Source organism: Homo sapiens, chromosome X, assembly GCF_000001405.40.
Source record: "Homo sapiens chromosome X, GRCh38.p14 Primary Assembly".
Taxonomy (NCBI): domain Eukaryota; kingdom Metazoa; phylum Chordata; class Mammalia; order Primates; family Hominidae; genus Homo; species Homo sapiens.
This window is the reverse complement of record NC_000023.11, coordinates 119,110,904-119,131,646: the sequence shown is the minus strand read 5'-3', so window position 1 is coordinate 119,131,646 and position 20,743 is coordinate 119,110,904. Positions and strand designations below refer to the sequence as shown.

General features: G+C 42.3%; 1 protein-coding gene across 4 annotated transcripts in view; it reads left to right on the top strand.

The window, feature by feature from the left end:
* The window catches only part of KIAA1210, a 72,496-nt gene that overhangs the window by 19,484 nt on the left and 32,269 nt on the right, over positions 1-20,743 (top strand). For 3 of the 4 annotated variants that reach the window (XM_017029689.3, XM_017029688.3, NM_020721.1), the window contains 2 exons: positions 7,995-8,065; positions 14,983-15,151. In XM_017029689.3, coding sequence (XP_016885178.1) covers positions 7,995-8,065; positions 14,983-15,151 — 240 coding nt within the window. Of the gene's footprint in view, positions 1-3,834; positions 3,921-7,994; positions 8,066-14,982; positions 15,152-20,743 lie in introns of those variants that run through there. The other variant, NM_001394962.1, reaches the window with a different exon arrangement.

The window sequence follows — 20,743 nt, the reverse complement described above, 5'->3', positions numbered from 1 at the left end:
AGCTTTGATCTCTCTGGCTTCTATTATCTGATCTCTAAATCCTCCTTTTATTTACTCATGTTCAAATGTGTGTTTTGTTTATTTTTTCAACTTTTATTTTAGGTTCGGGGGTACATGGGTAGGTTTGTTACATGGGTAAATTGCATGTTACTGAGGTTTTGGGTATGATTGATCCCATCACCCAGGAAGTGAGCATAGTACCCTATAGGTAGTTTTTCAACGCTGCTCCCTCCCATCCTCTCCCCTCTAGTAGTCCCCAGTGCCCAGTGTCTGTCGTTCCCATCTTTATGTCCATGCGCACGCAATGTTTAGCTCCCACGTATAAGTGAGAGCATGTAAACCCTCCTTTTCAGAGGCCCACCTGATTAGGTTAGGTCCACCCACACTGAAGGAGAGGGGATTTACAGGACATGCATACCAGGGGGTGGGAATCTTGTGGGTCATCTTAGAATTCTGTTTACCGCAGACTCTGTGAAATACATTTCATCCTATTACATTGTTTAAAGAAAACCAACAACATGAGGCCAGCTGCTTTCCATTAGCATTCTCCATTCCGGGAGGGCAACAGAGCTGTCAGGAAAAGTCTTCTGAATCCCTGAAGCCAAATCAGGCTGTGGTTTAAAAAAATTCAACAACCTTGGAAGAAGGGCCTTTTCCCCTTTTTTCCCCTCTTTTTCCCCCAAAACCCTTGTTCAACCCTCAAATGAGCCAGTTTCAGAAGGAAAAGGCAGCTCTGGGGCCTAAGCATCTGGGGTTGGCCTAGAGAAGCAAACAAAGCACTTTAATAATGACTTGATAACGAGACTCGATACCTCTGCTCTGCCAGGTTTCCTGATAACCATTATTACATGACTATGTTTGGTCCTTGGAAGTGGTTCCGAAAGCCTCTCATAATTTACTGGATAAAAACATATAGTTCCTCTTCCCTCATTCGGTTTGCCAGCTTTTTCATGGGACTTCATGCAGAAGGGTCTTTTACTGAAAGTGTGTCTCAATGTGTCCCCATATGTTTAAAAAAGACCACTTTTCCCACTGATTTCTGTTTGCCACTGCAAGACCCTCTCCACCCCCTGCATTCATCCATCCACAAAAATATATAGTGAGCACGTCCTGCGTGCCTGGTATTGTGCTAGGTGCTGGTAATACTCAGATAATCAAAACATGGTCACTGTTCTCAAGGTGATATCAACTATGACAACAGGTATGCGCAAAGGTCTGAGAGCATGGGGCATGGGTGGCCGGTACCTTTGAGCTGGGTCTTGAAGCATATGTGTAATTTCAAGGATGTGGGAATTAGAGAGACGATGTTCCAAGCCAAGTGCACAACCTGTGTGGAACACAGAGAAAACAAAAGAACATGGTGATTCTGGGAGGTCAGAGCATGGGGCTGTGAGTCAGGGGTGGGCTGCTGGGAGACTGGACCCCCTCCAGTGGGCAGAGAACACCAGATTGCAGAGGGCCTTGAGTGTTAAGAACTTGGCTTTTATCTTGCAGGCAGCAGGAAGCTGGTGGACAAGTTTAAGCGGGGAGGCTCATGGTTATATTTCAGAGAGAACACTGTGCCTTTTTTGAGATTGTGAGGTGACTGTAGCTTTTTCTAAATATCATAAATAAACGTATAGCTCAGAGGAGGCAGCCCCAAGGTCACTACCAATGAATCATGGTATGATTAAGGGACAAATTTATTTTAAATTTTTATTAGCCATAATGAGGCACGTGAAAGAAATATACAGTGATGCCTCTAAAAGGAGACACTTGGGAAGGAAATTATTTAATAAGATCAGCTTGTGGGGGAAAAAGGACAGAAAAGGTGGTGGCTGGAAAGTAGGAAGAGGCAGCGTTTCTTTTATTGAAACATCTTTCTCCATGAGGGTCCAGACCTAGCCCAGCTGAATGGGGCTCCACACTCACGGTTCACGTGGCTAGGATATCTAGGAATGGGATCTGTGTATCAAGGGAAAGAGGGGTCCAAGAGTGCTTGATTCTGTACAGGTGAATAACCCAGGGCTGGGAGGGAAGACAGGTCTTGCTAAACTGGAAAACAAGGGGGTTCTTCTGCTAGGACAAGTCTTCCTCTGCCCCGTATAGCATGCCTCTGTGTCTGAAGAAATTTCTGACCACAAAGGTGGTTCTTTGATAGGAACCACTTTTTATTTTAATAATATATTTTACTTAACCCAATATAACCACCATATTATGACTATTTCAACATATAATCACTATAAAAATAATATTAATGATATATTTTACATTATTTTTGTTCACACTAAGCTGCCACATCAGCTGCATCAGCCCCCTGCTCCAAACCCCCCAGTGACTTGCCATCAAGCTCAGAGTGAAATCCACAAAGGTGGATTTTATTGAATTTTTCAATAAAAAATTGAAGAATTTTTTTTCTTTTATTGAATTTATGCATTCATTCAACAAACGTTTATTGAGTGCCTGCTATTCCCCTGACACACCACATCTGATCCAACAGTAAATCTTTTGCCTCTTTCATTCTAGGCACTATTCTGGGTCCTGGGAGATTCAATGATGATCAAAATAGACAAGGCCCCTGACCTTATGGAATTTACATTCTAGTTGAGGAGATAGACAAAAAACTAGTAATTAACATAGAATATAATTTTAGGCAGCAGTGAGGGCTATGAAGATGTTAATAAAGAATAATTGGCCTGGCACAGTGGCTCACGCCAGTAATCCCAGCACTTTGGGGGGCCGAGGTGGGCAGATCACCTGAGGTCGGGAGTTTGAGACCAGCCTGACCAACATGGAGAAACCCCGTCTCTACTAAAAATACACAATTAGCAGGGAGTGGTGTGTCACGTCTGTAATCCCAGCTACTTGGGAGGCTGAGGCAGGAGAGTTACTTGAACCCGGGTGGCGGAGGTTGCAGTGAGCCAAGATTGCGCCATTGCACTCCAGCCTGGGCATAAAGAGTGAAACTCCATCTCAAAAAATAAATGAAAAATAAAAAATAAATAAAAAAAGAATAATGGGATGGAGAGAGAGTGGGAGCATTTTAACTAGGATGATCATGGACGTGCTCTCTGGGGGAAGTAACATTGGATGCTTGAATGATGCAAGAAAGCCAGCCATGCAACTATGTGGGGAAAGAGTCCTCCAGGCAGAGAAAGCAGCAAATGCAAAGATCCTGAGATTGAAAGGGGGCATTACCAGGAGGGCCAGTGAGGCTAGGTGAAGGGATGAAGTAGGGGGGTAGCGGGTTTGGTGATCAGTGGAGCATGGGGGTGGGCTTGCATCACATAAGGCCCATGGTAAGGGGCTGGGATTTTACTCTCAGCTTGATGGGAAGCCACTGGGGATTTGGAGCAGGAGGCTGATGCAGCTGATGTGGCAGCTTACTGTGAACAAAAATAATGTAAAATATACTATTAATATTATTTTTGTAGTGACTATATGTTGAAATAATCATAATATGGTGGTTATATTGGGTTAAATAAAATATATTATTAAAAGCAGTCTCACCTGTTTCTTTTTTCTTGTTAAAAATGTAGCTACTAGAAAATTGAAAATACGTGGCTTGCAATTCTGCTCAGGTTAACTTTTCTATTTAATGGTGAGGTTCTAGGAAGTGATTGTAGACAAAGAAGAGAGCCAAGGACAGAGCCCTGCAGTGCTACATTTCAAAATCAGGGAGAGGAGAGAGATCCAGCAAAGGCGACCCAGAAGGAACAGCCAATAAGGTAGGAGGAAAATTAAGGGAGTGTGGTGTTCCAGAAGACAAGTGATAAAATTATTCAAAAAGAAGGGCGTGGCCAATCACGTCAGATGCTGCTGAAAGTTAAAGGAACTGGTGGATTCAGCAAGCGCAGTGTTGGTGGACTGGCTTGGAAGCAGTTCAGTTTGGAAGCCTGATTGGAGAGCTCACGAGAATAGAAAGTGAGGACATAAAGGCAGTAAGTATAGATAACTCTTTAAAGAATTTTACTTTAAAGAGATGCAGAGGAATGGGATGGTAACAGGAAGAGAATTTGAACTCAAGGGGAGATTTGTGTTTTGCTGTAGTTGCTGGGTTGTTTAGGAGAGGAGACAGTTCCACATGTCCAGCTGGATTGGTTGATGGTGGTGTTGTCAACAGAGTGCCTGCTAAAAGCCTCAGGGCTTTTAGGATTTGGTTAGGGAAATAAGGCAAGTATGCTACAAAGAATTTCAGACAGGACAGTCTAAGCTCAAGGGTTAAATGCAATGATTCTATTAGTGCTCTAAAAGTTCAGATGTAGCCAAGATGCCCTCTTTCTTTGTTCTCCCTCATCTTTCATATTTTTCTCTTTAGTGTTTTTTTTTTCCCTTTCTATCTTCTACACTTGACAGTGGTAGGTCAATGACAATGTTAGCCTACCATGGCCCCACATTGTGGTTAACGGGCTTTTTTTCCCACAGGCTTCTCTAAGATAGTTTATTTCCCCAATGTCTAAAAAGGCTTCTAAAGTGGCAGGGGTGGGGGTGCTGCTGTGTTTATTAAGATGGCCAGGAACTTACCAATGACACAAACTCCTCCTGTTCTCCCTCTGAATTTCCTAAGAGCTTTTGAATATTTTTTTTTTTTTTTGAGACAGGTTCTCACCCTGTCACCCTGGCTGGAGTGCAGTGGCATGATCTTGGCTCACTGTACCCTCGACCTCCCAGGCTCAAGTGATCCTCTCACCTCAGCTTCCTGAGTAGCTGGGACTACAGGCATGCACCACCACATTCAGCTAATTTGTTTTGTATTTTTTCTAGAGATGGGGTTTTGCCATGTTGCCCAGGCTGGTCTCAAAGCCCTGGGCTCAAGCAATCCACCCACCTTGGCCTTCCAAATTGTTGGGATTACAGGTGTGAGCCACTGTGTCCAGTCAGATGTTGAATTTTCCTTCCTCTTTGCTCCTGCCAGATCTCCAGATCTTGGAAAACTAGCAGAGACAGGAATGCCAAGGGTAAAGCCATTCATTCTGGGACAATGCATTGGTGTGTAAATCCATTGATGTGGGCTCTCCTGATGGTCTGCATATGATAAGAAAGGCGGTATGGTTATTGGAGTGGAGAGGGTGTGTGTGTGCATGTGTCTCCATGTGTGTGTGAGCGGGGTAATTATTGATCACTGTGTGGGCCTGGGACTCAAGTCATCTTTAGGCAGAATTGTAATATTAACTCATAAAAGTTGAGTGACTTAAAATATCAATACCTTTCAGCCAGGAACATACCTGTCGTTGAACAAATTGGGTTTATTACCTGTGGCAGTGAGGGGGAATTGTGGGGAACCACAGGGCATCTCAGTAAGTGGGTCTGAAGCAATCTTGACACCACAGCCCTGTCAGTTCTCATGGTGATTTGGAACCTTTTGCACTCCAAGGCTTCAGTCACTCTGGCTATGTGAACTCTCAAGTTCTCCTTAGCCTTAGAGCCTGTGGTCACCAGCCCCGCCCCCCGGCCCCCCACCTCTGGAGATACATCAGGGGTTTACAGCTAGAAAGCAGGACAGGATGGGCCTGAAGCCCACCCATGAAACAGCAATGGCAGCATAGCTATGTCTGGGAAAAGAGCAGATCTGGAGTGGCAAGGGGATTCCAGAATCTACTTAACCCCACTTTACAATAGTTCATTCAGTTACATCAAGACCTCAAGGAGAGTTATCATAGGCACAAAGTCTCTGCTTGCCTTTCTATGGCCTTCTGGCACAGATGACTATAGCACCCTTTCTCTGGGTTGTGGTGCTCCTCAGATCTCCCTCCCACCCCACCCCCACCCCCCACACAAACTTTCATCAAGAATGAAAGCATTGGGACAGGCACAGTGGCTCATGCCTGTAATCCCAGCACTTTGGGAGGCCAAGGCAGGGGAATCACTTGAGTTCAAGACTAGCCTGGGCACAGAGTGAGACCCCATCTCTCCAAAAAAAAAAAAAAAAAAATATATATATATATATATATATGTATTAGCTGGGCATGGTGGAGCACGCCTGTACTCCCAGCTGCTATGAAGGCTGAGGTGGGAGGATCTCTTCAGCCAAGGAGGTTGAGGCTGCAGTGAACTATGATTGCACCACTGCACTCCAGCCTGGGCAACAGAGCAAGGCGCTGTCTCTAAAAATAATGTCAGCATTGATTTCTAAAAGTTTGATTATCAACCGACATGCTTCCTTAGAAGCATGACATGGAGTGAGTCATGGGAGAACTATCCTTTTCATGATCACTTTGGTTGTTTCCCGTTTTTAACTATTGGAAACAATGCTGTGATACACATTCTTGTATGTATATTATTGTGTGCAAGTGTGACTATTTATCTATAAGGTAATGTTCGAGAAGTGATGTTCCTGGATCAAAAGGTATGTGCATTTTAAATTTTGATAGGTATTGCCAAATTGCTCTTTAGAGAGTTAGAACTACTCACTCCAGAGTGCATGAGAGTCCCTATTTTTTCCCACCTTCGTCAGCAATGTAATATCATCCAAATTAAGGATTTTGACAATCTGATAGATGACAATACTTATTTGATATGTTTATTTCTATCTCTTTAATTGTCAGTGGGATGGAGCCTCTTCATATGTGATTATTTGTATTTCTTTTTCTGCTAACTGCTTTGTAGTCTTTGTCCCTTTTAGACCAAGTTGTTTGTCTTTTATTGATTTATATGAGCTCTTTATAAATTAAGAAATTTGGCCCCTGTATCTGTTATATTTGTTGCTAGTATTGTTTTCTAGTTTGTCATTCTTTTATTGACTTATTTCTTCTCCATAAGTTTCACTTTTTTTTTTTTTTGAGACAGGGTCCTGCTCTGTCACTCAGGCTACAGTGCAGTGGCATGATCATGGCTGACTACGGCCTCAATCTCCTGGGTTCAAGTGATCCTCCCGCCTCAGCCTCCCTAGTAGCTGGGACTACAGGCACATGCCACAATGCCCAGCTATTAAAAAAAATTTTTGTAGAGATGAGGTTTTGCCATATTGCCCAGCCTCAACTCAAAACTCCTGGGCTCAAGTGATCCTCCTGCCTTTGCCTCCCAAAGTGCTGGGATTACAGGCTTGAGCCACTGTACCCGGCCTGAAATTTTCATGTAGTCAGATGTTTCAGTCTTTTCTTTATGGCTCTGTGTGTTTATCAAAACAATTTTGTCTCCCTGGGCACACCCGTGAATAGTAATAGGCATCCAGAGTTAATGGGCCCCAACCCACAAAACAATAGATCAGGTTTTTTGCATTTGTCTTTTTTTGGTAACAGCTTTATTGAGCTATAATTCACATACTATACAAGTCACCTATTTAAAGTATACAATTCAATGGTTTTAAATACAGTCACAGATTTGTGCAACCATCACCACGATCAATTTTAGAACATTTTCATCATCTCAAAAAGAAACCTTATCTGGGCACAGTGGCTCATGCCTGTAATCCCAGGACTTTGGGACGCCAAGGCAGGAGAATTGCTTGAGCTCAGGAGTTCTAGTTCAACATAGCAAGACCCTGTCCGTACTAAAAATTCAAAAATTAGTTGGGTGTTGTGGCATGCGCCTGTAGTCCCAACTACTTGGGAGACTGAGGTGAGAGTTTTGCCTGAGCCTGGGAGGTTGAGGCTGCAGTAAGCTGCGATCACACCACTGCACTCCAGCCTGAGTAACAGAGCAAGATCCTGTAAAAAAACAAAAAACAAAAAACAAGCAAACAAAAAAACAAAACAAAAAAGAAATCTTGTACACTTTACCAACGCCCCCCCCACCAAAACAAAACAAAACAAAAAACATCCTCCCAGCCCTGAGCAAGACATTCTCTGTGTCTACGTATTTGCCTATTCTGGACATTTTATGTAAATGGAATCATTTGGAATCATTGTCTTTTTTAAAGGAAGGATAATTCTCTGTAATGGCAATTCCATTTGTATATTTTTTCTAGGCTATTTTAAGAATATAACTGAAGGATAAGGGGTAGGGTGAAAGGATTGCATTACGCCCTGAATATCAAATGATGATATTTTGCTTTTTTGCTTTGTATTTTATTTTAGTCATCCTACAATGGCTGAATCACTAAGTGAAATTTCTGACAGTCTGGATGTTCTGGAGGCCGGTGATGAGGGTAAGTAACCCAATAAAACTTTGATAACCAGAATTAGATTTGTTTACTGTGTTTATTTAGCTCCTAGGACAAAGAAGCAAGGCACAAGAAAACAAGTTCAGATCATTAGACTCAGTCACGTTTACTTTTCAGTTTTCTAATTTCTTCTTTGGCACCTCCAACTCTGATAGTCAAAGATTTGCCTGAGGTCCTGCAATCTTCTTTGAAAATGGTTACCAGGTTTTACTTACTAAGGCTTTTTCTGCTTCATCAGAAAAAACCAATCAGAACAGACCATGATCTGACAAATTCAGCTGAGGTTTTGCTGTAGATAGTAATTCAGATCTAAGAAAGAGATTAATTTGTTGAGGAGTAAAAGGAGGTAGAAACAAAAGATGCCTCCACAGGCTTCTGTTAAATAGGATTAAATTTACAAAAATTCTCTTTGGCAAAACTTACTCGTGTATCCATTGCCTAAATTGTGGCACAATCTATGAGTGATAGGTGATCATGCATGGAATAATTAGAAAGGGAGGCAAATGTCACTAAACAATGATAAGCTTTACACACACACACACAATAAAAAGGAAATCATAAGATGCAATGTGAGACATTGAGTGTAAAGACAGAATTGAATTGAACAGTTCTTTGGGTTGTTCTTCCATTCTTTTGCTGAGTTTTCTTTAGTGGTGTATGGTACAGAAAACTTTGTCTGGAAGAACAGAGGGAAACCTCCTTGTGGCTTCCTGGGGGCCTGGCTTCACACATGATGTGGGGCAGGGGATGCTGAGAGCCTGATCACAGATTCTTAATGGCAGTGCTTGGGTCTTCTTCATCTCTGTGTTATCACTGTTTAGTATTGTGTCTCAGAGAGAGAGAGAGACAGAGAGAAAAAGAGAGAAAGAGATTAGGCACTCCAAAATATTTAATGAATGAATGAATGAATAAATGAGTGAAAGGCCTTCTCACCAAAGCAAACCCAACTACCAAACCAATTGACTTTTTGGATATGAACTAAACAGATGCCTATAAAAGAAGGTGGCAGCACAGGATATCTTGATGAAGAGTGGTAGCAACGAAATGCCTTTTCTCTGTTCTCAAGTTTGTTTTTTGTAAGACCAAATATTTGAGTACAGTTTTAGAAGTTTTAGAACTAGTCAGGGCTGGCCAGAGAATAAGGTGGCTGTTGGGAGGTTAAAGGGAAGAAAGTTTAGTTAGAAATGTTTTCTTTCCAGCTGGGCGTGGTGGCTCACGCCTGTAATCTCAGCACTTTGGGAGGCCGAGGTGGCTGGATCACTTGAGGTCAGGAGTTCAAGACCAGCCTGGTCAACACGGTGAAACCCTGTCTCTACTAAAAATATTTTTAAAAATTAGCCAGGTGTGGTTGCAGGCGTCTGTAGTTCCAGCTACTCGGGAGGCTGAGGCAAAAGAATCACTTGAAACTGGGAGGTGGAAGTTGCAGCAAGCTGAGATCGCGCCACTGTACTCCAGCCTGGGCTACAGAGCAAGACTCCATCTCAAAAAAAAAAAAAAAAAAAAAATGCCGGGCGCGCTGGCTCACGCCTGTAATCCCAGCACGTTGGGAGGCCTAGGCGGGCAGATCACGAGGTCAGGAGACCATCCTGTCTAACACGGTGAAACCCTGTCTCTATTAAAAATACAAAAAATTAGCTGGGCGTGGTGGCGGATGCCTGTAGTCCCAGCTTCTTGGGAGGCTGAGGCAGAAGAATGGCGTGAACCCGGGAGGTGGAGGTTGCAGTGAGCCGAGATTGCATCACTGCACTCTAGCCTGGGTGACAGTGCGAGACTCCGTCTCAAAAAAAAAAAATAATAAATAAAAACTAAAAAAATAAATTTCTTTCCAAGCAGCAATGCAAAAGAACAAAGTCATCATTATGCGATGTATTTTAAAAGCTCATTCATTTCAATTCAGATGGGCTGCCTGTATGCATTGTGGATAAGCAAATATACAACTTAGAGGCAACCATTTCTCATTAGATTTAGCTGTGTTTTCTTCCCTGGAGAAAAAACAGCCTTCAATGAGCTGTTTTCTGGCATGTGACACACTGCAGACCATGACTGGATGAGTATGTTGAAAGTTACTTGCTGCTTGGGAATGCATAGTCTTTGGGCTGAGACAGGGAAATCAGTGGCTTTGTTATAGAAGTCCAGACAGCTGTCAGCTCTCAGCTGTCAGCTCACTGACTGCAACTGCTGTACCCTGTGATGGCATAAGTTATCCAGTGTATAGGTGACCCATATAAACATTGCTGGGTACAAATGTGAGTTTTTACCCATACCTGCTGTCTAGATCTCTCTACTCTTTGTGCTTTTCCTAGATTTTGAAAAACAGCCTGTGGAGGGCTTAGCTGCTGGTGATTGAAAGGTGCCCCCACCACACTTTAAAAAAGAAAGCTTCAAAGGCCAAATTTATAGACTTGAATATATGGCAACCATCTCAGATTCCATTAGGGTTTCAAAAGCAACATAGCACATGGACAGTACCCAGCTTTGTATCTCACTCCCAGGGCTGAGACCAGGGCTCGTCTTCATTCATGGGATAGTGGGGGTGGGGGGTGTTGGATACAGTTAGGGATAGGGCGGTCTCCTAATGGAAAGCAGGCTGAAGACATAGACCCTTGCTACTGACATTGTATGTCTGGCAATGGGTTGTCACAAAGGCCGTATCCAGCTTTCAAGCCACTGACCTAGAGCAACAGCAGCCAACCTACCATATTTGGCAGTTACCATCTCTCCGTGTCTCCCCAGCTCCCTGCTAACAAAGCTATACCACCACCACACTCAGAGCCACACTACAGGATGGAATGGAAACATTCTTTTTCTTCTAGGGTCCATGGTTAAAAGAGACACCCATTGCTTTAGCTATTTTTGAATCTTTGCGGGAAAATAAGTTGTTTCTGCCCAGAAAAGAATGGAAAATTGGGGGGAAATTGGACTATATGCATACTTAACTTTCAGCACCTGTTACAGTTCCAAAGTCACTAGTCATTTTGTTAATTTAGGAACATAAAAATGTGTTAATGTACAATTTTTCTGCTCATACAATGATTGTTTGTTGAATTCATTATTACAGCCTAAATAGTTTATTAGACATGTTTTTATCCAGTTAGTCAGTGTTTATAGATTGTGTCACAAATGGCTATTAGCTGCTGACTCTCTTCTCCCTGTCTTTGCTGGATTATTAGAAGCAGGTTTGCAACTCAGGAATTGCTAGGGAATCCTAGCTTTGCTTTCCTCTCTTCCACTATGGGATTTTGAAGCAAGAGGGGCAACAATTGCTGTGTTTCTAAATCTTCTGAGCATAAAGTTGTTCCCCTTTCAGAAGGCCAGAATGAGATCCACCTGTCAAGAATCAATAAATCGTCTGGGCACAGTAGCTCATACCTGTAATCCTGGCACCTTGGGAGGCAGAGGTAGAAGGATCTCACTTCCTTGCCCAGGGGAGAGTACAGTGGCATTGTCATAGCTCACTGCAGCTTCAACCTCCTGGGCTCAAGCAATCCCCCTGTTTCAGCCTCCTGAGTAGCTGGGAGTGCAGGCACTAACCACCACCCCCAGCTAATTTTTCTTTTCTTTTCTTTCTTTCTTTTTTTTTTTTTTTTTTTTGAGATGGAGTCTCACTCTGTCACCCAGGCTGGAGTGTAATGGCTGGATCTGGGCTCACTGCAAGCTCTGCCTCCCGGGTTCGTGCCATTCTCCTGCCTCAGCCTCCCGAGTAGCTGGGACTACAGGCACCTGCCACCGCGCCCAGCTAATTTTTTGTATTTTTAGTAGAGACGGGGTTTCACCGTGTTAGCCAGAATGGTCTCCACCTCCTGACCTCGTGATCCGCCCGCCTCGGCCTCCCAAAGTGCTGGGATTACAGGCGTGAGCCACCGCGCCCGGCCTTTTTTATTTTCAATACAGATGAGGTCTGGCTATGTTGATCAGGCTGGTCTCGAACTCCTGAGCTCAAGCAATCCTCCTGCCTTGGCTTCCCAAAGTGCTGGGATTACAGGTGTGAGCCACCATGCCCAGCCTTAAATATTTTATTATTGTAGAAATTATTTTTTTCTGAAAACACTTTTAAAAGGGATCTTGCAGAAAATATACGTTTCCTATTTCATTTTCATTTTTTATTCTTTCTCTCTTTAGGTAGAATTGCCAAGTTTTCCCAACCATGCCCCTATATAGGCAAATTCTAGTAGATAAGAAATTGCCCAAGTCATCCAAAACAGAAATTACTTAAGCAGCAATTATCAAGCAAACAGTTCTATAATCTTTCGTTGCTCTACTCCATGCTGGCTTCTGCCTCCAATTATGCATATTGTACAGTTCACTATTCAGTTATAGATATGGGGCTGCTTCTAATGAGATAGAATTGAATCCAGCCCTGATAAACAAGTAATTACTGAGTCCCTAACACTAGCTCACATTTATTGAACACTTACTACATGCCAGATCATATGCTAAGCTCTTTACCTATGTCATCTATAATTTGCATCAACTCCTTATAAGGGCCAGTGTTTAAATTATCGTATGCTGAAGGATGACTCTGTTCAGTGGTCTCAAGTCAAAGGAAGTGACAAGCTGTGTTGGTATTCTGCGCTCCCCAGTGGACACAGCTGTTACTGCATGCCTTGCACTGTGCTAGTTGCTAAGGGGGATGCTAAGGAGGGCTTGCCTACAGCCTTGATGTAGGGGCGGTAGCTAAGACATAGGGAGCTATAACTTCTTTCTTTCTCACGGATACCCAGAACATGGTAAGTACTTGACCTTAATAAATATTTGTTGAATAGATGAATGAACGAATGAATGAGTGAGGAGGCTAAGAACATTCAGATGCAAAACTTTTGATGCTAACAGCCAAGTTTTAGGTGTTCAGAAGATAGAGAGAAGCATGAGTTTCACTGATTGGTGGGAAACTGGACTTAAGGCAGGCCTTGAAGTTTAGGAACCTTTACCCTGGCAGGCTCAGGAGTAATCGGTGCACAAATAAGTCATAGCATTTCAAAGCTAAAGGAACTCTAGTTCAGCATTTCTCAAAGTGTTTTTTGCCAGACATTCCGCTTACATACATTGGGAGATAATATTGTTGCCTGGTTTCTTGGAACTTCACCATATACATAACCATTTTGAAGTTTCAGAAAAGTTTTGTTGAAAAGCAGGCTACTGAACTTTGTCTAATCCAGAATTTTCCAGATTGACTGGACTACGGATCCCTTTCTCATACAACAAATCTTATGAGCATCCCTCTGAACACACTTTGGGAGATGCTGATCAGGTGCAATTCTTTAATTTTCCTGCTGAGTCCCAGAGAGGTTGAGTGACCTACTCCAGGTCACAGAGCTAATTGATAGTGAATTCAAGCCTAGGATTCCAGAATTTTCTGACTCTTGGATGGTGCTTTCCATTACACCATTAAGCCTTTCATGATGGCTGCTGCATTGGCAACTCCCTTGTCTGGACCCTTCATTGCCAGCACAGAATTGCTGTGCTGATGAGACCTTCTGGAGACCAGACAGTTGAGACTTGGAATGAGACAACTTAGTTGGCACTTGTTGCATGTGAAATCAATAAGAGCTAATTCCTTCCCTTTGAAGAATGCAGCACGAGCCCTCTCCCCCTTCTCCCCTTTAGTTTCTTAATAAGCACAATAAAGACATATGTGCTTATTAAGAAACTAAAGAGGCCCGGCGTGGTGGCTCATGCCTGTAATTGTAGCACTTTGGGAGGCCAAGGCGGGTGGATCACTTGAGCCCAAGAGTTCGCGTTTGAGACTAGAACTCAACTCTAGTTCTAGAACTCAACTCTAGTTTCTAGAGCGTCGTCTCTACAAAAAATCCAAAAATTAGCCACGTGTGGTGGTGCGTGCTTATAGTCCCAGCTACTGGGGTGGGACTGAGGTGCAAGGTGCAAGGTGCGAGGATGGCTTGAGCCCAGGAGGTGGAAGTTGCAGTGGGCCGTGATCATGCCATCACACTCCAGCCTGGGTGATAGAGTGAGGCTCTGTCTCAAAAAAAAAAAAAAAAAGTAAAGCCCAAACAGACAGCACCTTAAGGGCATTTAAAACTCACACTCCTCACTGCTGCCCTGGTAATTATTATAGATAGAGCAAACTCTCATTTATCTGCATGTGCAAAGGGCAGCAGCCCTGTAGATAATCCAAACCAATTGGCAAGACTTGAAGAACACACACAATGATCATCATCACACACACACACACACACACACTCCTTGAAAAACTCTTTGGTATCTGATTTTGACATGCCTTTTACACAGGCAGCTTCTTTGCCTGGGCAGCCCTTTCTTCTTTCTGATTCCCGGCCATCTCCCTTGCTCATAAATTCCTTCCTCAAGGAAGTGTTCCTGGACTGCACTAACCAACCGCACTCACTCTTTGGGTCTGCATCCTTTGAGCACGCAGGCTAGGAAGTATCAACTGCCACTTAGACTTGGATTTCTAAGGGTTCTGAAGTGTTTTTCACATGTGGGAGCTTGGCTCTCCTATTGGATTGCAATGACTCCAGCCACTGGGGTAGAGTCAGGGGAGTACTAAGTGCTTTCATTGCCTCAATCATTGCTTCACATGAATGAACTTCTTAGGACAAAGAAAGAGGTGTATATGTTAATAGCTGAAATTGAGAGGCAAGTGAATTCCTAGTGAGTTTGGCCTGAATAGCAGCTGCCCAGAGATGACAAGCTGTGGCCTGGGCTTCTGCTTTTACCAGTAACTCAGACACTTTGTTACTGAGTTATTAAGGGGACGACTAATCAAATGAATGTTGAAGGGTGCTGTCAGCATTGGGGTTGAGTCCAAGCTCTGCAGGACACCTGGGTGGGATCATGGTCCTCTTTCCTCTCATGAAGGCTCTTTTTCCTCTCCTGTCTTCCCTTCTACCATCACACTCTGCCTCATTTTCATTTTTCACTTCCAGGAAAGAAGAAATGCAAATTTAAAGCCCTTAAGAGCTTTTTTGTTAAGAAGAAGGAAAAAGAAGCCGAAGATACCCAGGAAGAAGAAATGCTAGAACTGAGCTTGTCCAGCAGCAACATTAACATCTCTTCTCTGCAGCCCGTTCGGGAAAATCAACCAACTAAGGCCAGGTGAGCTCAGATGCGGTGGAGAGTGATGGGGACAGGGGAAGAGGCAGGCAGTTGGATCTAGGTCACCTTTCGGCAGCCAAATCACCAGGGACACCAAGAGTCCCCACCTGTGGGGGCCAGGCTTGCAGCCATTGCCAATGCAGTCATGTCCGGGGGAGGGGGGTGGTGCTTTTCTCTGTGTGCATATGCATGTTTGTTGTCTGAGCTGCACATCTCAGTGGGTTGGAGCATGGCAAATGCATACCCCACTTCCCGAGAGCACTGAATAAGAGGGTGCAGATATTCAGGGAAGCCCTGCCTGTCGCAACTAAAATAACTTGAGATGTGGGGCCTGCAGCCAATGAGGAGCTGAAGGCCTGTTTGATCTGGTAAGAAGGGCCTACGTCATTCAGGAGGCTTGGTCTGGTTTGCTTGCCTGGCTCTCAGACTACCGATCTAGCCAAGATCTCATAACAAGTGATGAAAGCCTCCTATAGTAAAGCTATCTAGCTGGGAGTGGGGTGGGTCATGAGCATGAGATCACTGTGTTGCTGTAAAAACACACATGCAAGCAAACAGCCCAGATCCCTTTCTCCCTCCATTTCAGGAGACTAGGGGAAATGCTATAGTCACAGGGGGCATGGGGAAGACTGTTTCCAGCTACCACTGCCACCGCTGTTCAGATATTCATCTGCAGTGCCCAAATTTCCACATCCTATTGTGCTATCTGGACACCTAGGATTCCCAGCTGTCTCTGGATCAATCAGATCCCCCTCTATGAAGTTCTGCTTAGGCCTGTTCTTCTGGCCTTAAATGCCAGACTTATCTGGACTCCCCACAGAGCTCACCAGTCCTGCTGCCCGCTCCAACCAGGCAAAGCCTTGAGGGAATGAGGCAGTTAGCTGACATGTTATACTGTCCCCAATATCTCCCCCAATACATTCTATAACATAATGGCCTGATAGTTATCATATATGGCTCCTTAAGAACAACCTTCATGAGTGCATCCAGTGTAAGGAATTTCAAGTAGTCTTGCTGGGAGTAGGGCAGACGGTTTTGAAAGAGGGGCTTATGTAGTACCTCACAAGTAATACTATTATAGCCCATTGCCTTGCAGTGTTCAGTAAGACTAAGACTAGCCCTGCTAAAACCCAGGGGGAGGTCAGGGAGGGGCATTCAGGTTTACTATCTCTGCTAAAGTTCTACATTTCTCCCTTTTACTTGTTCCTTCCTTTCCAGAAGTGTGTGCACATGTGAACCTGAGAGAGAGAGAGAGAGAGAAGGGGGGGATTTTTTTGTGTGCAAGGAAATTCAAATAATATAACTTAGGGGGCCTGAAGATCACCCCTGGTCTCAGTCTTCTGCTTAATGTGCTAGGGGAAGAAACCCTGGAAAATGTCACTCCGGAGAAGGGAGATCAGCTTTTTTCATTCACTGAAGCAATTAGTCATAACGAAACTTATGACCAGCCTTCCCCTGGCCTGTACCATAGGACCAGCATCTATTTCCAAGACTGTATTAAGCCGTATCTGATGGAATGGACAAATCCCGTTCCTTCATTTGATTTCTTAATGAGTGCTGTTGTAATAATATACTTCACTGCCCTTAATTAAGGCTGAGATTTTGTTTGGGAGTTTTTATTTTTATTTTTATTTTCGCCTCCAGGGAACAGATCAATGAGCACAAGATATGTTAAGTGGACAAGAGTTTTCATTTCTGACAGACTTGGCCACAACTGGTGCTAATTTAATCTTTTGATCAGGGAGGGCTTGGCACTATAGAGCCAATTCAACCATTTCACTTTGGTTAATGCACAGCATGGAAATGAGAGACATTTCTAAGCCCACTCATAGCCCAAGATTTCCTCTCACTTTTTCTGCAAAAAGCAGAGGAGGCAAGGTAGTCACAGATGCTACACTGGTTCTGAACCTGATTTGAGCCAGTAGATCATAGAGCAGCAGTGAATGAAAGCGTGTTATATGTGCATACTGAGCGTATGCGTGTATATAGAGATGTCTGGAAACATTACATTCTCAATGCTGGATCAATCATATATATATCCATTAAGTGTTTATCTAGAGAGTCACAGTAATTTTCTGCTGGACTGCTGTTTTATAAAGCAGACTACGTTGCTTCCAACACCAGGGCCACCTGGATAGCAGAGTTTTATAGGGAAAAGGTAAGTAGGAGTTTAGTAAAAAGCAGCAGACATCTCTCTCCTCTCCTCTCCTGTTGGCCCACAAGCCATCTTAGAGCGGGTTCTGTTTTAATCCCCATAACATGAGATTGTCCTTATAGTGTGTCATTATCAAATATATCCATATGAAGTCCCCACAGGCTCATAATGACAGGGCAGGTGCTAGCCCCACAATGCCCAAGCTGCTACTCTAGTTACCATTTGAAGATTTTTTTTAAGTGCTAACATAAATGTATTGTTTTGTAATAAAGATAATAAGTACAAAAAGGGCATTTAAACATTTTAAAGTTTATTTTATCTGTTTTTAAACATTGCTACCCCTCCCTAAAAGAAACCCTGTACCAATTAACAGGTTCCCCCCTAAATAACCACTAATCTACTTTCTGCCTCTATAAATTTTCTTATTCTGGATATTTCATGTAAGTGGAATCATACAAAGGTTGTTTCACTTAGTATGTTTTCACTTAGCATGTTTTCAAGAGTCATTCATGTTGTAGCATGTATCAGCTTACTTGCTTTTTTCTTCTTTTCTTCCTTTATTTTTTCGTGTCTAATCTCATCTTTTATATAAACATACACATTTTCTCCTACCTAACAGGAATAACTTTTATCATTTAAAATTTTTATGTTTCTATATAACAGCTTTCTTGAAATATAATTCACATACTACAAAGTTCTACCTTTTAGCATGTGCAGCTATCACTATTACCCAATTTTAGGACATTTTGTCACCCTAAAAAGAAACCCTGCGCCCAGTAGCAGTCATTCTCCATTCCCCTATCCTCTTTCAAACCACTGATCTGCTTTCTGCCTCTATGGATTTGCCTATTGGGAACATTTCCCATGAATGAATTATACAATATGTGGCTATTTTTGACTGGCTTCCTTTCACTTACTATGTTTTCAAGGGTCATTTATTTAAAATCATGCATCAAGAACTTGATTTCTTTTTTGGTAGCAGTTTTATTGAGATATAATTCATATATTATACAATTAAACCACTTAAACGGTAAAATTCAACGTTTTTTGTAAATCCACAGAGTTGTACAATCATCATCATAATAAATTTTGGAACTTTTTCATCACCTCAAAAATAAACTCCTGTACCCATTGACCAGTCCTCCCTATTCAACCTTCCCCCAACGCCCGCCAGGCCCTAGAAATCATTAATCTGCTTTCTGTCTCTGTGGATTTACCTATTCTGGACATTTCACATGAGTGGAAGCTGGTCTTTTCTTATTGACTTCTTGTACTCATTATAATGTTTTCAAGGTTCATTCATGTTGTAGCATGTATCAGAATTTCATCCTTTTTGCTACTGACTGTCCATTGCATGACTATACCACATTTTATCCATTCATCAGTTAATGGATATTTGGGTTGTTTCCACCTTTTGGCTATTGTGAATAATACTGCTGTGAACATTTGTGTATAAGTTTTGGGGCAGATATATGTTTTTATTTCTCTGGGATATATACCTAGGAGTGGAATTGTTGGGTCAAATGGCCGTTATATATTTAACCTTTTGAGGCACTGCTAGACTGTTTTCCAAAGTGGCTGGACCACTTTAACACCAGCAATGTATGGGGGCACCACCAGCAGTGTATGGGTGTTCCAATTTCTCCACAACCTTGCCAATGCGTGTTATTATCTGAATTGAATTTTTCATTCTAGCCATTCTAGTGGGTGTGAAATGGCATCTCATTATGGTTTTGAGTTGTATTTCCCTGCCAACTGGTGATGTTGAGCATCTTTTCATGTACTTGTTGGCCATTTATATATCTTTGGAAAATATATTTGTATATCTTTCTTGTTTGGAGAAATGTCTATTCACATCTTTTTTTATTTTCTAATTGGGTTATTTAAATTTTTATTATTGAATTCCTTAAGAATTCAATAAAAAGAATTCCTATTAGTAAGAAAGAGTTCTTTATATGTTTCAGATCCAAGACTTATCAGATATATAATTTGCAAATATATTCTTCCATTACGTAGGTCATCTTTTCATTTTCTTCCTAGTAACCTTTGATGCACGAACATTTTTAATTTTTATGAAATCCATTTGTATTAGTCCATTCTCACTGCTATAAAGAACTACCTGAGACTGGGTAATTTATAAAGAAAAGAGGTTTAATTGACTCACAGTTCAATCATGGCAGAGGATAAAGGGGAAGCAAGGCACGTCTTACATGGTGGCAGTAGAGAGAGAGTGCAAGCGGGGATGCCACACACTTTTAAGCCATCGGCTCTCATGAGAACACACTCACTATCACGAGAACAGCATGGGGGAAACTGCCCCCATGACCCAATCACCTTCCACCAAGTTCCTCCCTCGACATGTGGGGATTACAATTTGACATGAAATTTGGGTGGGGACACAGAGCCAAACCATATCACTATTTATCTATTTATTTTTTCTTTTGTTACTTGAGCTTCTGGTGTCATATCTAAAAATCCATTGCCAAATCCAAGATCACAAAGATTTACTCCTATGTTTTTTCTAAGAATTTTATAGTTTTAGCTCTCATATTTAGGCCTTTAATCCATTTTGAGTTAATTTTTAAAATTACACTTTAAGTTCTGGGATACATGTGCAGAAAGTGCAGGTTTGTTACATAGGTATACATGTGCCATGGTGGTTTGCTGTACACATCAACCCATCATCTACATTAGGTATTTCTCCTAATGCTATCCCTCCCCTAGCCCCCCACCCCACAACAGGCCCCAGTGTGTGATGTACCACCCCCCATGTCGATGTGTTCTCATTGTTCAGCTCCCACTTATGAGTGACAACATGCGGTGTTTGGTTTTCTATTCCTGTGTTAGTTTGCTGAGAATGATGGTTTCCAGCTTCATCCATGTCCCTGCAAAGGGCATGAGCTCATCATTTTTTATGGCTGCATAGTATTCCATGGTGTATATGTGCCACATTTTCTTTATCCAGTCTATCACTGATAGGCACTTGGGTTGGTTCCAAGTCTTTGCTATTGTGAATAGTGCTGCAATAAACATACATGTGCATGTGTCTTTATAGTATTTTTATATATGTTGTGAGATAAAGGTCCAACTTAATTCTTTTGCATGTGGATACCCAGTTGCTCCAGCACCATATGTTGAAGAGACTATTCTTTTTTCATTGAATAGTCTTGGCACCCTTGCTGAAAATCAACCATAGATGTATAGGTTCATTTCTGAACTCTCAACTCTATTTCATTGATCTATATGTCTATCTTTATGCTAGTGCTACACTGTCTTGATTACTGTAGTTTTATAGTAAGCTTTGAAATTGAAGTATAAGTTATCCAACTTTGTTCTTCTTGTTCAAGATTATTTTGGCTATTTGTGGTCCCTTGCATTTCACTATGAATTTTAAGATCAATTTTCTGGAAAAAAAAAAAAAGCCAGCATGAAATTCA